This window comes from Homo sapiens, chromosome X, assembly GCF_000001405.40.
Source record: "Homo sapiens chromosome X, GRCh38.p14 Primary Assembly".
Taxonomy (NCBI): Eukaryota; Metazoa; Chordata; class Mammalia; order Primates; family Hominidae; genus Homo; species Homo sapiens.
Window position 1 is genome coordinate 15318473 of NC_000023.11, and position 17678 is coordinate 15336150.

The 17678-nt window shown below is 39.9% G+C and overlaps 1 protein-coding gene across 9 annotated transcripts, besides 2 other annotated features; it reads right to left on the bottom strand.

The window, feature by feature from the left end:
• On the bottom strand, positions 979 to 17082 carry PIGA (phosphatidylinositol glycan anchor biosynthesis class A). Of its 9 annotated transcripts, none has more exons than NR_199790.1 (7): positions 17029 to 17051; positions 13402 to 13520; positions 9749 to 9841; positions 7442 to 7574; positions 6548 to 6680; positions 6193 to 6399; positions 984 to 3300 (listed from the first exon to the last, which is right to left on the bottom strand). NR_199790.1 is itself a non-coding variant. In NM_001440789.1 (7 exons), exons 2-7 carry the CDS (start codon positions 13456 to 13458, stop codon positions 3034 to 3036), a joined length of 1548 nt encoding a protein of 515 aa, NP_001427718.1. In that variant the 5' UTR covers positions 13459 to 13520; positions 17029 to 17051; the 3' UTR covers positions 984 to 3033. The 9 variants fall into 9 exon arrangements, 5 of the variants coding, with proteins under 5 accessions (NP_065206.3, XP_011543841.1, NP_001427718.1 ...); NR_199789.1 differs by having other exon boundaries at positions 13118 to 13520; NM_001440789.1 differs by having other exon boundaries at positions 12744 to 13520.
• Positions 16803 to 16852: an enhancer, noted in NCBI's record as "active region_29446". NCBI's record gives its function as "activates an Ori minimal core promoter by ATAC-STARR-seq in GM12878 lymphoblastoid cells {active_cell/tissue: GM12878}" and the evidence as "EXISTENCE:reporter gene assay evidence [ECO:0000049][PMID:35858748]".
• Positions 16903 to 16982: an enhancer, noted in NCBI's record as "active region_29447". NCBI's record gives its function as "activates an Ori minimal core promoter by ATAC-STARR-seq in GM12878 lymphoblastoid cells {active_cell/tissue: GM12878}" and the evidence as "EXISTENCE:reporter gene assay evidence [ECO:0000049][PMID:35858748]".

Below are 17678 nucleotides of genomic sequence, written 5' to 3' on the forward strand. Positions count from 1 at the left end.
ATCCAGCCACAGGATGATACAATTCAACATCTAGCCACATCCATTTGGGAATGCAGAGATGGATAAAGAGGCTTTAAAATTACTTCACAAAAGTAAACACAGACCTATACTACCCTGACTTTGCCAAAAATAAGTTTTGGCATAAGATAAATCAAAACATAAACATAGGTGACTGCTTTCCACTGCTTCCCACAAAAGGAGTGGGAGAAACTAAATCAGGGATGTCCAATCTTTTGGCTTCCCTGGGCCACGCTGGAAGATTTGTCTTGGGCCACACATAAAATACACTAACAGCAGATCATGAGATCAGGAGTTCGAGATCAGCCCGGCCAAAATGGTGAAACCCCATCTCTACTAAAAAATACTAAAGTTAGCCAGTGTGGTGGTGGGCGCCCGTAATCCCAGCTACTCAGGAGGTTGAGGCGGGAGAATCATTTGAACCCGGGAGGCGGAGGTTGCAGTGAGCCAAGATCGTGCCACTGCACTCCAGCCTGGGCAACAAGAGCGAAACTCCGTCTCAAAAATATATAAATAAATAAATGAAAATACCCTAATAGCTGATGAGCTAAAAAAAAAAGAAAGAAAGAAAGAAAGAAAATCACAAGTCTCATAATGTTTTAAGAAAGTTTACAAATTTGTGTTGGGCAAAGTAGAAAGCATAATTATGTAGCTCACATACACAGTATAGTTTGTAGATATTTTCCTTGTCTCACGTGATAATGCTAGGGCAATGAAAAACAAGGGCTTATTTGGGTAAGGAAACAAAGGCACAATTGAACTCGCTATTCCATGAGTGAGAGAGAGAAGATATTCTAGAAACAAAAAATGACAGAGTAATTCATCGCCCAAAGGGTATTTCTTGTTTTACTAATAGACCAAGCAACACATCCAAATTGCACTGAAAAAGAATGTGTCGGGGGCAGGGATAGCCTGTTCCACTAGTAAATAATAGTCTGTTCATAAAATAAGACAAACTCAGAAAATTATCAAAATGTCATTCTGGTCTTTATTTTTGGACATGTAGCATGTTTTAACAAATCAGTTTTTCATAGGCAACCTTTTGAAACATCAAAAGAAATACAATATATTTTTCACAAATTTCTCATCACTGTAAATTCACTTTAAAATCAACTAAGTAGCAGGGTAGAGCAATGTGTTTCCATATACCGACCAGTGCAAACTGACAGTTACAATTAAGGTATCCAGAAAGGTTGAAAATTAAGATTTACGTGAAACAAATTTACTTCCATTTGTTAAAAAAAAGAAAAATAATAATTTGCAAATCACATGTTTTACAGGCAAAGGCAACTAACTTTAGATCTTATTTCCATCTCAAATAAATGACAGTTTAAGAATTAAATGACAATTTAAAAAAATTAAGCAAAAATATAAGGAAAAAATGGTGGCATGCCTCTAAAACCTGTTGAATAGAATAATGGCCAAATATTACAGTTTCTCACTTTCCTATGAATACTGGCACTGTTTATTTCATGTTTATATGTGAGTTTCTATGCATAAAAATCCCAGTAAGACTGAATAGTTTAAAGATCAGTCCATTTTTCTCCAACAAAACCCCTAACTTCTAGATTTTAAAAATTGCACTCTTGCTTTTGCATTTTAGTACAAACAAAACACAAATATATTTCTTTTATATCAGTGCAACCAGTTAATAGGCATGTTATTTTTTAAAAAGTAATAAATTTTGTGAATGTTGTCATTTTTAAAAATCCTATACAGAATCACAACACTGTCAGAATCTATGTAGTGCACCCACAAGTGCCTTATTGTTTTGAATTCACAGTCCTTTTCTCACAAAAACCTTAAGAGTTCAAAGAATTCATAATACACACCATGTGGATAATTTGGGGTTAAAAAACCCATGGCTCTGGGCAACAACAATGACAGTTAATAACATCCACCCACAAAGACTGTTTCTAAAATTTTCAACTTAGTTTGCTATAAATAAACCATTCTGAAGTAAAGCCTTTTGCACACTGACAATACTTATCAGACATCAGCGAGGCCACAGTGAAGGGGAGTGACTTACATTAAAAGGACAGGGTAGCAGCTGGTTTTGGGATGGCACACCTCGTACATTCTGCTCAGAAAACACGAAGGCATTTATAGAAAACTCAATTATGCACTGAAAAATGTGGAGGGTTTCTCTGCACTATCAACAGTGATATCGGTCCCCAGTATTTAAAAAGCAAAAAATACCTTCACAAACACAACTGAAGATGGAGGCTCTACCTAGGAGAATGCATACAACAGGAACAAAGTACTAGTAGTGTGTCGGTGATTTTTTTCCTGGCATTAACTGGCATGAGCATTTTTGGCATGTTGGATATTGATCTCATATCAACCACAATTATGATGAAGTAAGCCATTTGAATGGTAAACAAAGAGTGAATGCACCCCTGGTCCTTAATGGCGGGAAGCATCTAGTTCAACATTCTACACAGAGCAGGGGTTCAAAATGTGCTGGTAACTGATGGACTATCTTACTCAAGGAACCTGTTAATTACATGTAACACCTACTGAGTGAACCTAATAAATGTTCAAAGACATGATTTAGATTCCTAATAAATGTATATGAACATGATATAAAACAGTTCATATAATTGTTGTAGTTCCCCTAAAGAAAACTTGTAAACATCTGGTGAGTGTCTAATGGTGTTACATTAAAAACTGGCCAAAAAATGCCCAGAAAACGTTTGGCCCTTCAGCACCCAAAGCTCTCAAAATATAATGTTAAAACATCTCTGCTACAGGGATTTCAGTAGTCTGAAAAATTGCATACCTGAGTGGCTTAAATGTTCTCTCCTAAATTTTAAATAAGTGCAAGAAGTTTCTACACTCAGGAATTGCATACATTTTTATCTTTCCTCAACAGAAAATATTGAATGATATAGAGGTAGCATAACTTACTAAATTAACTCTAAAAAAACAAAAACCCCCCAAAAGCAAGGTTATTTTCCATAGTCTTTATAGAACTATTACAAATGTTTAAAATCTTACAATCTAGGCTTCCTTCTACCTGGTTTCAGATATCTCATTATTCTCACCCCCTCTTTTACTGTGAGAATAGTTATTAGTCCAGGCACCCCGTGGCCCAGTGGCATCTATTGCAACATCAATGATAGAATCTGGAGTCATCCATCTCAAGAAAATGAGGAAGAGGAAGTTGAAAACTGCCAACAAAGCAAAGATGTAGCCTGTTACTGGGCCGCAGTGAGAAATAAGTCTGTCCAGTCGTTTGTCCATTGGCAACACAGCTTCCACTGATACCCGGTCATATACCTGGAGGGAGAGAAGCCAAGTGTGAGCACTTTCACCCATCACCCCATCACCTGTCCCATGATAAACAATGACCCGATCCTGCAGGAACATTTTATAAACAAATACAAACAAAAGTTGCTTGTGTTTTGTTGTTGTTGTCATAGTAATGATATCCTTAATGAACTTAATCACGATAATTATTGCCATTTGATTCAAAACTTATTGGGTACTTATTCTGGGCAAGACACCGGGCTAGAGGCTGTGTGATACAAAGAATAAGCCACAGTTCCTCTCCCCTAGGGAGTCACCATCAATTTTAGCCAACTACTAGAATTCCAAAGTCCCGCAAAGTCTGAACAGCTTTTGGGGTCACCACTGTAGGGTCAATATTTAATTCAGCAGTGACTTCAGCAGTACTGAAGCAGGATTTGCCTTTGAAGATTCCTTGACTAAGCTGAGATGCTCTCACCGGCATCTGGCAGACATCAACCACAAGCAGAGAGCTACAATCTAGCATACTTCTGGGAACACAGAGCCTCCTCTTTCAACAGCCACATGAGGCTGTACATGTTGCTGAGCATGGATGGTGAGGACATGCAGAAGCATTTCATGGATTTCAAATAAAAGAAGATAAAGAGATGGGGGAAATTTCAGTAGATAGTATAGGTCAAATGCTGGCAAATGAAATAACGTTTTTTGCTGAGCAAGTAGGTGGCTTGCTTTTTAAAACACTGCTAAGTACTAAGCTCTAAAATATCAAAAAACGAAGATCTTTAAACATACTTGTTCAGAACACATCAAATGGGCCAACATTCATATTTTGTAATTTGAGTATTACTTGTGCTTAGTCTCATATATTAGACCTTTAAACCGTCTCCTTTTGAACTCAAGGAAGTTATAACATGCAGTGCATGTTGTACAGGTCAACAGCCCTTGAAAGGTACGGCATGTTTTCATCGAGCTCTTTTACCCTGAGGACATTCTGAATACAAACATTTTAATCAGAATTATGTTGAGAATTATGCTGAGACTGGTGAATTGCAATTGAAGAAGTATGTTTACAGCATGAACTCCAAATTAATTTCATGATCGATTTCCTAAATAGCACAGTTAAACTAAGAAGGAGGAGTTGAAATGAATTAAAATGTCATAGGGTTAAAAGAGTAACTACAAACTGACTTTTTTGTCCAGCTTTATTTCAGGTCAATTAATCTACTTATAGTTTTAAGTGATAAAATAACAATTTACTATTATGAAGAGAATGTTAGCGATGACAATCCATTATAGGCAAGGATTTACTTTTTTCTAAAAGTGTATTATAAATCACCATAGAATTAAAAAAAATACAGATGCTGTACTATTACTTTAACCAAAAGAAAAATGTGGTTACCAAAAAAATCCCAATTAGCCCCTTTACTATATGCTGACAAACCGTCACCACAGTTCTTTCCCTGTTAACTTATTACCTACAGTGGCTCAGGCTTCTGGGGTTTATACGATGTCAATGAAGAAGGTCAAGTCACAACTTAACAGTGCCATGGTTCTCAAAGGGAGTGGAGATCAGGATGGTATCATCAAAATAACCTGTCTGACCAAATATCCCTGCCAATTATACCCCCAATTCTATCTCTGCTCCTAAAGGATAACACTGGAATCTAGGGAGTGGTTGGGGAGGCAGGGGGACATCAAGATGGAGTAGAGAGAGTCTGAAAAGGCTGCCCGGGGACTCTGACATGTACTCCCAACAGGTAAGCACTAGACTCCAACTTTCCATGTTTCATATGGGAGAGATAGTACAAGACTTGTAGAAGGTCAGAATGTCTCAAAATGCTTCAGTCAAAAATGTTTGACTGTCGCAAACATCTCATGTTTCAATGGAAAATGTATAAGACAATTTTTAGAGATAAGTTTTTAGAACTTCCATTCACATATGAGTTCATCTTATATACTGGAATTCATCATTCAAACCAAGTAAGAAAGCCTTACAGTAAAGAGCTATTCTCCTCAGCTCCAACTTGCTATCTACTCTAGGCTAAAAACTCATTGCTCCACTGAATATCACGTTGGTAGCATTACTCTAAACTACTACCTTCTCCATGTTCCACCTGGTTATCTTTCTGGTTCACAATTTCTACATACTAAGAAGCTGAGTTGTTTCTGTTCAGCTTGTTACATGGTAATAAGAGGCATGAGGCAGAGAACATCATGAAAAGGACGTAAAGGATGAAACTGAGAATGAAAGCAGTCCCTAATTCAAATTCAGGAAGCATTTCCCACAACTGTAATCTCCTACCTAAGGGTGTTAATCTATTTCCTATACCTGTCCTTTTGGAAATTCTCTGTTGCTGCTTTTTATTTGTGATTTTTCCCACGTTTGTCACGTACATTTTGAATTCTAACTTACTATGTTCTCAATCAGCCCAAAGATGCAAAAATCCTTTTCCTGGAGAAAATCACAGTAGTTAGCAAAAGGGCTACAAGAGGTTTAGGAAGTAGCCTGAATTAAATATTCACAAGTTATAAAGTTGCTGCAATCAGCAAAACCATGCATTTCCTAATAGAGATGTTTGCTTTAGAATTATCAACAGCTTCAAGAAAATATCTAAGAGTAGATTTAATACTCGTCTTGTCTCTACTCATTGTGACTTTTAGAAAATTTTGTAACTTCTTTATGCCCAGTTTAATGAGGGGGCTAGACTGTATTACTGCTATTTTCAAATGTCAAACGCAATAATTTGACCAGACACTTAGCCCGGTGTGTGTACCAAAATCTGTTTCTTTTCACCTGGAAGAGATTTCATCAACTTAAGCAATAGAACAAAAATGGTAAACATCTATGTAAGAAAAAGCAAATGTGTACGTGAAACATCAAGTAAGAGTTCAGACACAATCTTTTCTCAGCATGTGACATACCTTTTCAGTTCTTTCTGCAACATTCCTCCAGGTGTAGAAAGTCTTTACTATGTTATGGATGTTTTCTGGAGCTGGCAATGTCCCTGACTTCAGTTGGAAAATAGCCTTTTCCAATCCTTCACACAAAGATTTTACTGAAGGCTCACATAAAATAATAAGGTTTTCTGGAAGCACCTCAGGAATTCCACCAACTCTGGTACTTACAACCTTAAAAAGAAAGAAAGAACACATACTCCACCATAATCATACCTCAGGAAGATCAACAAAACCAGTTAAAACATTATTATGGAATGTGTCTCATTATTTTTCAAAATACACAGAAATCCCAACCATGAATGCCCTCAAAGCTTTTTACCTGTAAACCACAACTGGCTGCTTCCACGATCGCCATGCAGAATGCTTCAGTAAGGGAGGTATTCAGAAAAATATGTCCTTGAACTAAGACATTTCTAACATCCTTGTGTTCTAAAGCTCCCAAAAGACGCACCCTGATTTTTTAAATGAGAGGGGAAGAAAGGAGTGAAAACTCATGCTACAAAAGAAATTTAATTTATAAACCAAGTCTGCTATTTATATTACACTTAAATTCTTATTGCTGCTAATGTTCTCCACCTCAAGATTAGTATCACCAAACACTGATCTAATAGAAACAGCCTTATAAAGCAGTTGGGTTAAAACTCATACAGCGAACATTATTTCTAACTTTTGTTACACATATCAAACTTTATCTTCTCCAAAACTAGTCTGTATGTAATAATATTAATAAACTTTGATAATTTAATGTTAAAGTGCCATTTGTAAACAGGAAAATGGCCTTTTTATTAAAATTGATGCTTTACACGTACAAGCCTTGTGTTGTGTAAGTTACTGAGGAAGAGACTTGTCCAAATCTGTATGTGCAGAGCAATTTACATGATTTGAGCCCTATTACTTAAATCACTACACAGTATGGCCTGGAAATCTGCAAACGCTTCCAGTTAAAGCAGCTGTTTTTTGTGCCTTTCATGGTGCCTCCAACAATGGCCCCCCAAAGTCAAATAATATTGGGCTAATGGAAAAAATAGTGAATTAACTAGGTTTCCTATTTATATAAAAATTTTGAAAACAGTCCTTGCATTAGATTTATATCAATTATATGTATATCAATTACATGCAGGAGAAGCAACACACCTAAGGTACGCATGCAGTTAAAACCAAATAGAGATAATTGACATCTTCTCCCTCAAGACAACATGAAATTCATCAATACCTGTCATGCAGCTGGTATCTTTCCCGAACTTCTTCCAAAATGATTCTCTTTGGTCCCTCTCCTCCAATTATGAAATTTAAATCTGGATATTTCTGACAGAGTTCAGGTATTATACCACTAAGCAAATCGATCCCTGAAAATATAAAGTTGAATGTTGGAGATATTAATATTTAAACTTAAAAAAATTCACCAGAACGACTGAGAATCCACTTATTTTGAAAAGTATTAGCTATGCACTCCATAAAGGAGAGAAACTCTCTTAAACCTTTTCCAGGAGTGGAATTGTTTGCAAACTGGCAGTGGTCCCCCAAGAGTTACAATTCTTGAAGACGTAGACCTTGACATGCATTACCTTCCACACACCCAAAATATGGACTATTCTGTTTCATCTCAACAGACTATTCTTTAAGTTATTCACTTGTGTTTATACATTGCGTACTTCTAAAAAAGGTATATTTAAGGTGGCTAAGGTTTGAGTTCGTTTTCTCCAGAGCAGGCAGCTGATTGGAGATCTGGGTCTTTTCCCAGCTTTTTTAACCAGCAAGCCCATTGATCGTGGGGAAGTTTCAAGATCTATAAAATAAAGATACCTATGTACCTAAAGTCTCTTTCAGCTATAAAATTCTATCAGTCTGTGATCCCACTTACTGCCACAGGAAAAGGCTAAGCAACGAAATCTAACTGCTGCCTCCACTTTGTTTAAAATGTGGCTGGTACAGAGAATTTTGCAGTGAACACTACATTATCGCAAAATTTAAGTTCAAACCAGCTATAGCCCACTTTCCTGGAATGAGGGTAAATGAAGGCAGCAGGGCATCAACTGTTAGATCACTACAGTCCATAGAACAAAAGGATGCATCTTGGCTCCTTTTTTCTCCAAAATGATTTTCTTATAATATATAAACACAATCTCAGGTAATAGAAAACAATAAAGTAAATTATGCCCTATTAGTCTGAAAAAGTGAGTGGCTATCCAAAGTCCCAACAATGTCAACACTATTTAAGAATCTAGTTCATTAACAATTACAAAACGTACATATTCAAAAGTAAGAGTAGGCAGGGCGCGGTGGCTCACGCCTGTAATCCCAGTAATCCCAGCATTTCGGGAGGCCAAGGCAGGCGGATCACAAGGTCAGGAAATTGAGACCATCCTGGCTAACATGGTGAAACCCCGTCTCTACTAAAAATACAAAAAATTAGCCGGGCGTAGTGGCGGGCGCCTGTAGTCCCAGCTACTCCGGAGGCTGAGGCAGGAGAATGGCGTGAACCCGGGAGGCGGAGTTTGCAGTGAGCCGAGATTGCGCCACTGCACTCCAGCCTGGGAGACAGAGCGAGACTCCGTCTCAAAAAAAAAAAAACAAAAAAAAAGTAAAAGTAAATATAAAATAATCCACCTAGAGCTAAGTTTATTAATTTTAAAAATGCACACACACATAAGAATTGTATTTCTTAATCTTCCACCCCAAATAGGCAGATCAGTTATAAAATAGATGATATTTTATATCAGATATAAAATAGGAGAAATGACATATATATTATAGGGTCATTTTTATTAAATAATACAAAGTAGAATTCATTAAGTAAACTCTGCTAGTACTTTCAAACTGTTATTGTATGTATCAAAAATTCCCACGCAGCTTTTCTGAATATGAAGGCTTCTCATTAAAATCATAGCTATCTTTGTTTCATGTCTACTAACAAATCACTCAATTGGATTTCTAGATAAACCAGAAGGTAGTTTAATGACTTTTAACATTTAGTCTCCTACAATTCCTTCAATCCATTTTCTTCCTCACCCTTTTCTTTCTCGTACAAGGTTAAGAGCCCATTCTTCAAACAAACAAAAAACAACATAGAGCAATAGTCATAAATGATAATAGCTAACAGTAACAGAGTGCTTGCTATGACAGGCAATATACTTTAAATTCATTATGTCATTTAATCCTGACAAGTATCTCATAAGAAATGGAACTGATTACTATTACCAATGATCTATATTCTTATTCTAAGAATAAGGGCTTTTCCCCACCACTATAAAAAAATTTATTCTGGAGCCTCTAAGAAGGGTATAATGCAATGGAACCTAGAGACTTTCGACTGCCATGTGAACACAAAACAGACAATGAAAATCTCTGATCCAAACTGCTTTTAAAGCTCAGTCTAACAATATTTTTAAGAACCTTCTGATCTACACCTAGGATATGAGTGGCTGGGCATGGGTGGAGGAAGAGGAGAACTTAGCTCCAGAAAAGCTGAACTCGTGTGTCATCTCTGTTACTTACTGTGTAACCTGGGTGAGTTACTTACCCTCTCTGAGACTCAATTTCATGTAGATAACATCTACCCTACAGTTGTTGGGAGGGTCAAATGAGGTATTGTACCACGAACAGGCTTTATCAACTGCAGAATACAAATGTAGGTTGTCATTACCACTACAGAAGGAAGCAGGTGAGCGTGCCTACACATGCAGAGTGCTGGTAAATCCTGACTGAGAGCAAAACAGGCTTGGAAGAGGAGGCTCAGGAAAAAGACATCCAAAAAGCCTGGATAAGGAAAACTTTGATTTATCCTCTCTCTCACTTAAGACATTCCAGTGGGACTTTGATATCTGGTCCAATAAACTCCTGAGGAAATTAATTTGTTAATAAGGAATGGACCATTAATACAACTACTCACTTTTGGGCTACAGGCATGGCTGTTCCTTTTCAGAATGTTACTTTCTGCAGGGTGCCTGGCATCTGGAGAGGGTTCGATAAATAACTGTTCAATTACTGAATTGAGTACAGGAAAGGCCATACCATCACTCCATTGGTGGTTAGCTCAGCTAGTTAAAATACCACATTAGGGAAGTAAAGGTAACAGGTTTAATCTTTGCATGGGTAGTTAATTTTGCTGATCCTTGATCACACTTGTGTCATACTCTTTCTCAGCTAGCCATCTCAAGAAGATATGCTATTTGGTTAAAAAATAAATTAGGTACAATTCCTAAGTTACAAAAAAACACATCACTAATGTCCCAGGAGGAATTCAGAATACAGAATGCCAGTCGGTTCACATGTTCCTGATTAAAGAATGAAAGCATGTCATTGCCTTCAAACCAGAAAATGAAGTTCAGGCCAAGTTTCCTTGCCAACCTCCACTTAAATGGACTGCTGGGTCAATCAAGATTCTCCATTCCAAACGTAAACTGACCAAGGCCCACATCTAGATTTTAGGCCACTCCCTAGCACACTGGCACACCACTGAATTCAGTGCTTGTCAAGAATCAATTGTTTGTTCACACATCTGTTTGATGTCAGTTGTACTTGTTATCGTCGTGTTGAGTAATTTAATTATCATATAAACTGACAAAAAGAGTATCCACAAAAACTAAGCTGAACAGTTTGAAAAATCCAATAAAGGAATGTCACAGAAAAAAGTTCTTGGCAGATGAGGGGTGTCCTAAACTACTGTATAAAATTGAAAACAAATTAAAACTCCTGAAGCATATCAGTTCATACGCCTTTAAGTTCTGACCCCACCCAAAAGAAACTCAAAGTAGCAATGGTAGATTATGTTTTATGAAGGAGGGTGTGCAAGATGCAGCTGAAACCAGTGGCCCAGCACTCAAAGCCTGCAATCCTACATCAAACTACGGGCAACTCAGTGTGTATTAATATTTTGAGTTTAATTCAAATATTAACTATTTAAGGGGGTATGTATTTATGTATTTTTTTTAATGATTCCCTACTATAAATGACACTTTTGATTAGTGGACAGGTTTTCAAATAGCACTCAGAAGACACTGTTTTTTATAACCAGACTGTGTCAGACTTTTAGTAAACAAGCCTCCACACATTCAACTGCAGTGTCCATTAAGTGCTGTAGAGGTACAAAAAACAGCCTCCTTGGCCAGGTGCAGTGGCTCACGCCTGTTAATCCCAGCATTTTGGGAGGCCGGGGCAGGTGGATCACGAGGTCAGGAGTTTGAGACCAGCCTGGCCAACATAGTGAAACCTTGTCTCTACTAAAAATACAAAAAATTAGCTGGGCTTGGTGGTGGGCGCCTGTAATCCCAGCTACTTGGGAGGCTGAGGCAGGAGAATCGCTTGAACCTGGGAGGCAGAGGTTGCAGTGAGCTGAGATCACGTCACTGCACTCCAGCCCGGGGGGTGACAGTGCGAGACTCCGTCTCAAAAAAAAAAAACCCAAAAACCTCCTTGATAATAGTGGACAGTTACAAACTAGGCTAATAGTTTATAGGAACTATCACTGAACCCTTGCGAGGTTCCCAATGTTGCTTACATTACACAAATGAAAAAACTGAGACTTAGAGATGTTAAGCTACTTGTCCTCGATCACACAGCAGGACAGACCCATCATCTGATCCCAGGACATCTAATCCCCTTTTCTTCATCACTTACCTGCCAATATGTTACTAATGTCTTATACATGATGAAATGAAACAAGCAAGCTACAATACAGTAACGTGCAGAGCAAGCCCACTGATTTTCAGTATATGTACGTACACATAAAAAAGACAGGAAAGCTATAAATCAAAATACTCATTAGGGTATCTCTGAATAATACAGTTACAGCTGATTTTAGTTTTCATCTTTGTGCTTTTCTTAGTTTCCAAAATATCTGCAATGAAAAGACATTACTTTGGCAATCAGAAGAAAAAAGCCATCTGTGAGCTCTGCCCTTTACTTCTTTTTTTTTTCTTTAGAGACGGAGTCTCGTTATGTCGCCCAGGCTGGAGTGCAGTGGCACGATCTCTGCTCACTGCAAGCTCCGCCTCCCAGGTTCATGCCATTCTCCTGCCTCAGCCTCCGGAGTAGCTGGGACTACAGGAGCCTGCCACCATGCCCAGCTAATTTTTTGTATTTTTAGTTGAGACAGGGTTTCACCATGTTAGCCAGGATGGTCTCAACCTCCTGACCCCGTGATCTGCCTGCCTCAGCCTCCCAAAGTGCTGAGATTACAGGTGTGAGCCACCGTACACGGCCTGCCCTCTACTTCTTTACCACATGTGCAGGGCTGTTTTAATTTTTAAAAAGATCTGAAATTTAACAGCATCAGGTTATTCTTATTTTTAGTAACCATTAAAACATCAAAGGTTGGGGGACAGCATTCACCACCATCCTGAAAAATCGCTCTTCTTGGATATATAAACCAATATTAGAACTTTCTTTGCTATAATTTATAGCATTATAAAACCATAAAACAAAATGAAAAGCCAAACAATCATTATATACAAGTATTCAACAGCTTTCTATAGGGAAAAAAGTCTACAATGCAATTATAGCTATCATTTCATTACCTTTTCTGTAAACAAGTCTGCTGACAACAACAATAGTTATACTATCATGCCTTCTAAATGGGTCTGGAGTGAAGTCAGTAGGATCTACAGCATTAGGAATGACGGACACTATTTCAGGATTCAGTGCTGCTCTTAGTACAGTATTTTCCTTACTAGTATAAGACACACAAATGATGTGGTTTGTATCACAAAGAGACACGGTTAGAAGCTTGTTTGTAAGCACCGAGCTGACATCAGCAAATCCAAAAAGGGAATGGTCCGTGAAGACTGTCTGAAGCCCCATTGTCTTGGCGTGGAAGAGAGCATCATGGGCCATAGCAGAAAAAGAACTATGTGAATGGATTATCGTGACTCTCTCCCGAACAAATATGTACCTGAGCAATGGCAGACTGTGAAAGAGGGTCGTGGCTGTAGACTGGTTGTACATGACTTTCAGAGGCAAGTAATAGACTTTGAGGCCACTGGTGAGGTAACGGATGCCTTTTCGATTTCCATAAGCATGGGTGACAATTATAACCTTATGCCCTCTTTCAATCAGGCACTGAGAGAGCTGGTAAATGTGGCTTTCCACGCCTCCCATATTTGGGTAGAAAAAGTCAGATACCATGCATATATTATGGGTACGGGTTCTACATGTGTAAAGACTTCCAGGGCTAACCCGAGAGAGTGTAGCTGAGGCACGGTGGCCATTCCCAGCTCCTCCTCTACAGGCCATGCTGAGACGGTTTAGACATCAGTTCTTAGAGCAACCCAGTTAAGAGATGTGTCCTCTATTACCTGAAAAAGAGTAAAACAGGATCTCAGCTCAGAAACAAAACACATTCCATATTACAAATCCAGATATAGATATTGTTTTAATGTTAATGTAAATTTGTTAGCTTTCCCCAGAATTAAAAATAAAGCAAATCATCAATTTACTCATTTGACATTTACTTGCTTGGCATTTACATACAACAAAACTAGGTTCTACCATGTCTTAATTTTGCCCTAAAAATACTGCTACATGTAACTTTAAATAGTAAGTTTGTTACACCACAGCATATCATGGTTTACCACGTTAACAAACCAGTCTCTTCCAATAATTAAGTATATATACACACATACATACACACATTTATATATTTCCCCTTTACTCTTATACTTTACCAGCTTCTATTAATACTTATTAAATGGCCACTATACATCAGCTACTACATGCTAAGACTCTTCTATATCTTATTGCAGCCTCACCAAAACTCCATGAGTTATCAACTCCATCTTATAAATGGAAAGTCTAAAGCTTAAAGGGGTTAAGAAATTTGTTCAGTTATTCAGTGCTTAGAGGTAACACAATGTAGCAGTCTGATTCATTAGCGGTCATGTCTTCTGGTATTTATGCCCTTCTATAGTATAGTCCCTTCCCGTTGCATTTGGACCTGGTTTAGCCCATAGAAGGTAGTGAAAGTGATGTGCAAATTTTTGGCCTCGGCCTAAAAAAGGTGTGGTGATTTCCAAGGTGTGGTGGTTTTCACTTGTGCACTCTTAGATATCCTAAGCCAAAGTGTAAGGAATCCATCTACTGTGCTAGAGGGACAAGGGAAGAGATAATATGGAGAAGGAAGAGCTCTGAGACTACATGGAAAGAGCCAGAGGCCCAGCCATCCAGCCAACTTACCAGCTAAATGCAGCCTCCTAGTGACCACTGGCAAGACCAAGAGAACCACCCAGCTGAGCCTAGCTCACTGCAGTATCATGAAACATACCAAAATGGCTATTGTTTTACATCGTCTTGGGGTGGTTTGGTAAAAAATAACAGACAACTAAAACAGGCCAGGATCCAAACTCGGTTATACTGGTCCACTGCCTGTTTTTGTAAAGTTTTATAGGCTCATAGGTGTGCCCATTCATTTATGTGAATGGCTACTTTTGTGCTACAAGAGCAGAGTAGCTACAACAGAGACCATATGACCCACAGAGCTGAAAATATTTACCATCTGGTCCTCTACTAAAGTTTGCCAACCCCTGCTCTATAGCTTAGCCACTGATTCAATTACTCTCAAAGTTTTGCTAGCATTACCTTTGTGGTTTACACTAAAACACACCCGGAGCTCGAACTATCTTTTTGAGAGCACCTTTTTCAAATGTCACCAGAGCACATGCTGCACACATGTTCTCCTTCCTTATTCAAAGAGGGTGATTATTTAGGCCGGGTGCGGTGGCTCACGCCTGTAATCCTAGCACTTTGGGAGGCTGAGGTGGGTGGATCACCTGAGGTCAGGAGTTCAAGACCAGCCTGGCCAACATGAAGAAACCTCATCTCTATTAAAAATACAAAAATTAGCTGGGCGTGGTGGTGCCTGCCTGTGGTCCTAGCTACTCGGGAGGCTGAGGCAGGAGAACCGCTTGAACCCGGGAGTCCGAAGTTGCAGTGAGCCGAGATCGCGCCGCTGCACTCCAGCCAGGGTGACACAGCGAGACTCCATCTCAAAAAAACAAAACAAAACAAAAACAAAAAACAGAAACACAAAAACCAAAGAGGGTGATTATGTAACTGCTCCCTTCACTTTTTAAACTTTTCTATCAGTTATGCAGGCCTTTCAAACTCAATGAGTGTCCCTCCCTTCAGTGCGGTGTCTAAAGATAAAGGCTAAACTAGAGATGGGCTGTATCTGGGACCATTTTCTCAATTTAAAGTGCGAAATGTTTATCTCAGGGGTCCCCTAAAGCTTTATTAATGTGAAATGCCCACTCAATATTTAGTACTACTGTACATTCTTAGACACTTAAAGCTAAAAAGAATCTTGGATATCTAGTCAAAATCTTCCTCAGCTTTACAAATGAGATTTCCAAGGCTCCAGAAAACAAACAACTATACAATGAGAAGCCATCCTAAAGCTCTGAGTTTCCGGTTTCACCTGCAAACTCAGAAAATGCCAATTAACTGTATGTGCAAAGGCTTAACTGTCTAGTCTCTCCAACAAATTCATCTACTTTTTTTTTTTTTTTTTTTTTTTGAGACGGAGTCTCACTCTGTTGCCCAGGCTAGTGTGCAGTGGAGCGATCTCGTCTCACTGCAGCCTCTGCCTCCCGAGTTCAAGCGATTCTCCCACTTCAGCCTCCTGAATAGCTGGAATTACAGGCGCACACCACAAGCCCAGCTAATTTTTGTATTTTTAGTAGAGACGGGGTTTCATCATGTTGGCCAGGCTGGTCTCGAACCCCTGACCTCAGGTGATCCACCAGCCTCGGCCTCCCAAAGTGCTGGGATTACAGGTGTGAGCCACCGTGCCCGGCCTCATCTACATTTTAAATATACTCTCGGAAAGACCCCAGAAGTGTTTGTTGACTGAGTTTACTAATTAAGATTCAATATTACCAAATATTGAAATTCCCCAAGTTTGTACTTTTAGGTGGCTTAACTAACATTTTCTTACTGTGGTCACCTAAACCCGAACTTCCAGTTCTACCAGTTTTAAAAGATGAACGATAGCAAAAACAGTGAGTAATGAACCAAATGATATCATTTAAAATGTTGTCATTAGCCTGCAACGTTCTGTGAGGAGTCTGCCCACTTCCGCCAGGTTTTCAGTCCAAACATCTTTGACATAAAAGTTCATTATGCTGCACAATCGCAGAATCTTAGCTCTTAAAGCCGAAATGAGGCTTGGAGCTCTAGTGAATACCTCTCTCGTTTTACAAATGAGAACCCAGACAAGTTGAGTGATTTGTCCAAGGTTCCCACCCAGCCACTTAAAGTGGCAAAGACATTACCGTAAAATTCTCGACCACGACCAACGAGCCCTGGGCAATCATTAGCAGTAGAGGTTCCTGAAGAACCTTAGGGAGACCTGGCAGGAGTTGTGGGTCAAGAGAATGGTACTTCCACCGACAATTCCTGGGCACTGTCTGAGCTTCATTCCCTGATTCCCTGAGAGGTCGCTGGGGAAACGCTCGGGCCAAGGAGGGGATACCCCTGCTCAGACAGCGACCCCGCTGGGTTCATGGCGGGGATGGCCAGGCCCAAAGAGAGAAAGAAAACAACCAAAGAGTGGACGTTGGTCTCAGGCCCGGGGTTCCGGAGACCCCAGTCCCTCGACCCACCCGCCTGAGCCAAGGAACCCAGCGCGTCCGCCCTAAACGCACCCTCAGCCCCAACCTACTCTGGAGACCCTCCGACCCAACTTCCGGGCTTCGAACCGGGTCGGTTTCACCCCCTCCACCACCCGCCACGATCCCACGCGCGCAGAACAGCCCCATCCGAAAGCGGCCCAGAGCGCTGGAGAGGGGCGGCGCGACGCGCACTCACCGGTGAGTTCCATGGCCGCCAGTGTCCGGACCTCCCGCGGCTGCAGCCGGAGTCCCTCCCTGCTGTTCCGCAGCACCAATCTAGGGCGTCCGCGCCCAAGGGCCGCGCCCCCGAGGCAGCCAATCACAAAGAGGCGCTGAGGTCACGTCCGAGAGAGACGCTCTGTCGTCCCCACCCTTAAGCGCGAGATGTAACGTCAGCGCGCGCCTGCGCCCGTCTCCTAGAAGCGGCCGACGGTAGGGTGGGTGCTCACCCTGGTTTCCTGGTTACAGCGTCTCTATTCCGGACGCCAGTTCTCTGCGCGCTTGCTTCTGATTGGAGAGACTTTTTGTTTGTAATCAGCTGTGCCACGGCAAAACCGTGCCGGTTCTTACCGCTCTGGGACGTTTGCCAGATAAATAAATAAAAATACACAAAAAGTCAAAACAGATGAAACTATGAAGTTTTAATTTCAGATAAAGCACAAATGATGTTTAATACAAGCATGTACCAAATATTGGGGACTTCACTACACATTCGTTTTTTATCGGACATGTAAATTTAACTAGACATCCTGTTATTTATATGGCAATTCTACACTCTGAGGGAAACATACGAGGTCTGATCTGAAATATCAACTCCCACTCGACTGGTTCAACTAGTTACGATGG

Excerpts from the sequence above, each read along its gene's own strand:
- PIGA (NM_001440789.1), bottom strand. The coding sequence starts at position 13,458 with ATGGCCTGTAGAGGAGGAGCTGGGAATGGCCACCGTGCCTCAGCTACA. Across the intron at positions 7,575-9,748 it reads GAAATTGAGTCTCAGAGAGG|GGATCGATTTGCTTAGTGGT; the intron begins GTAAGTAACTCA and ends TTATATTTTCAG. Across the intron at positions 6,681-7,441 it reads AGATACCAGCTGCATGACAG|GGTGCGTCTTTTGGGAGCTT; the intron begins GTATTGATGAAT and ends TTAAAAAATCAG.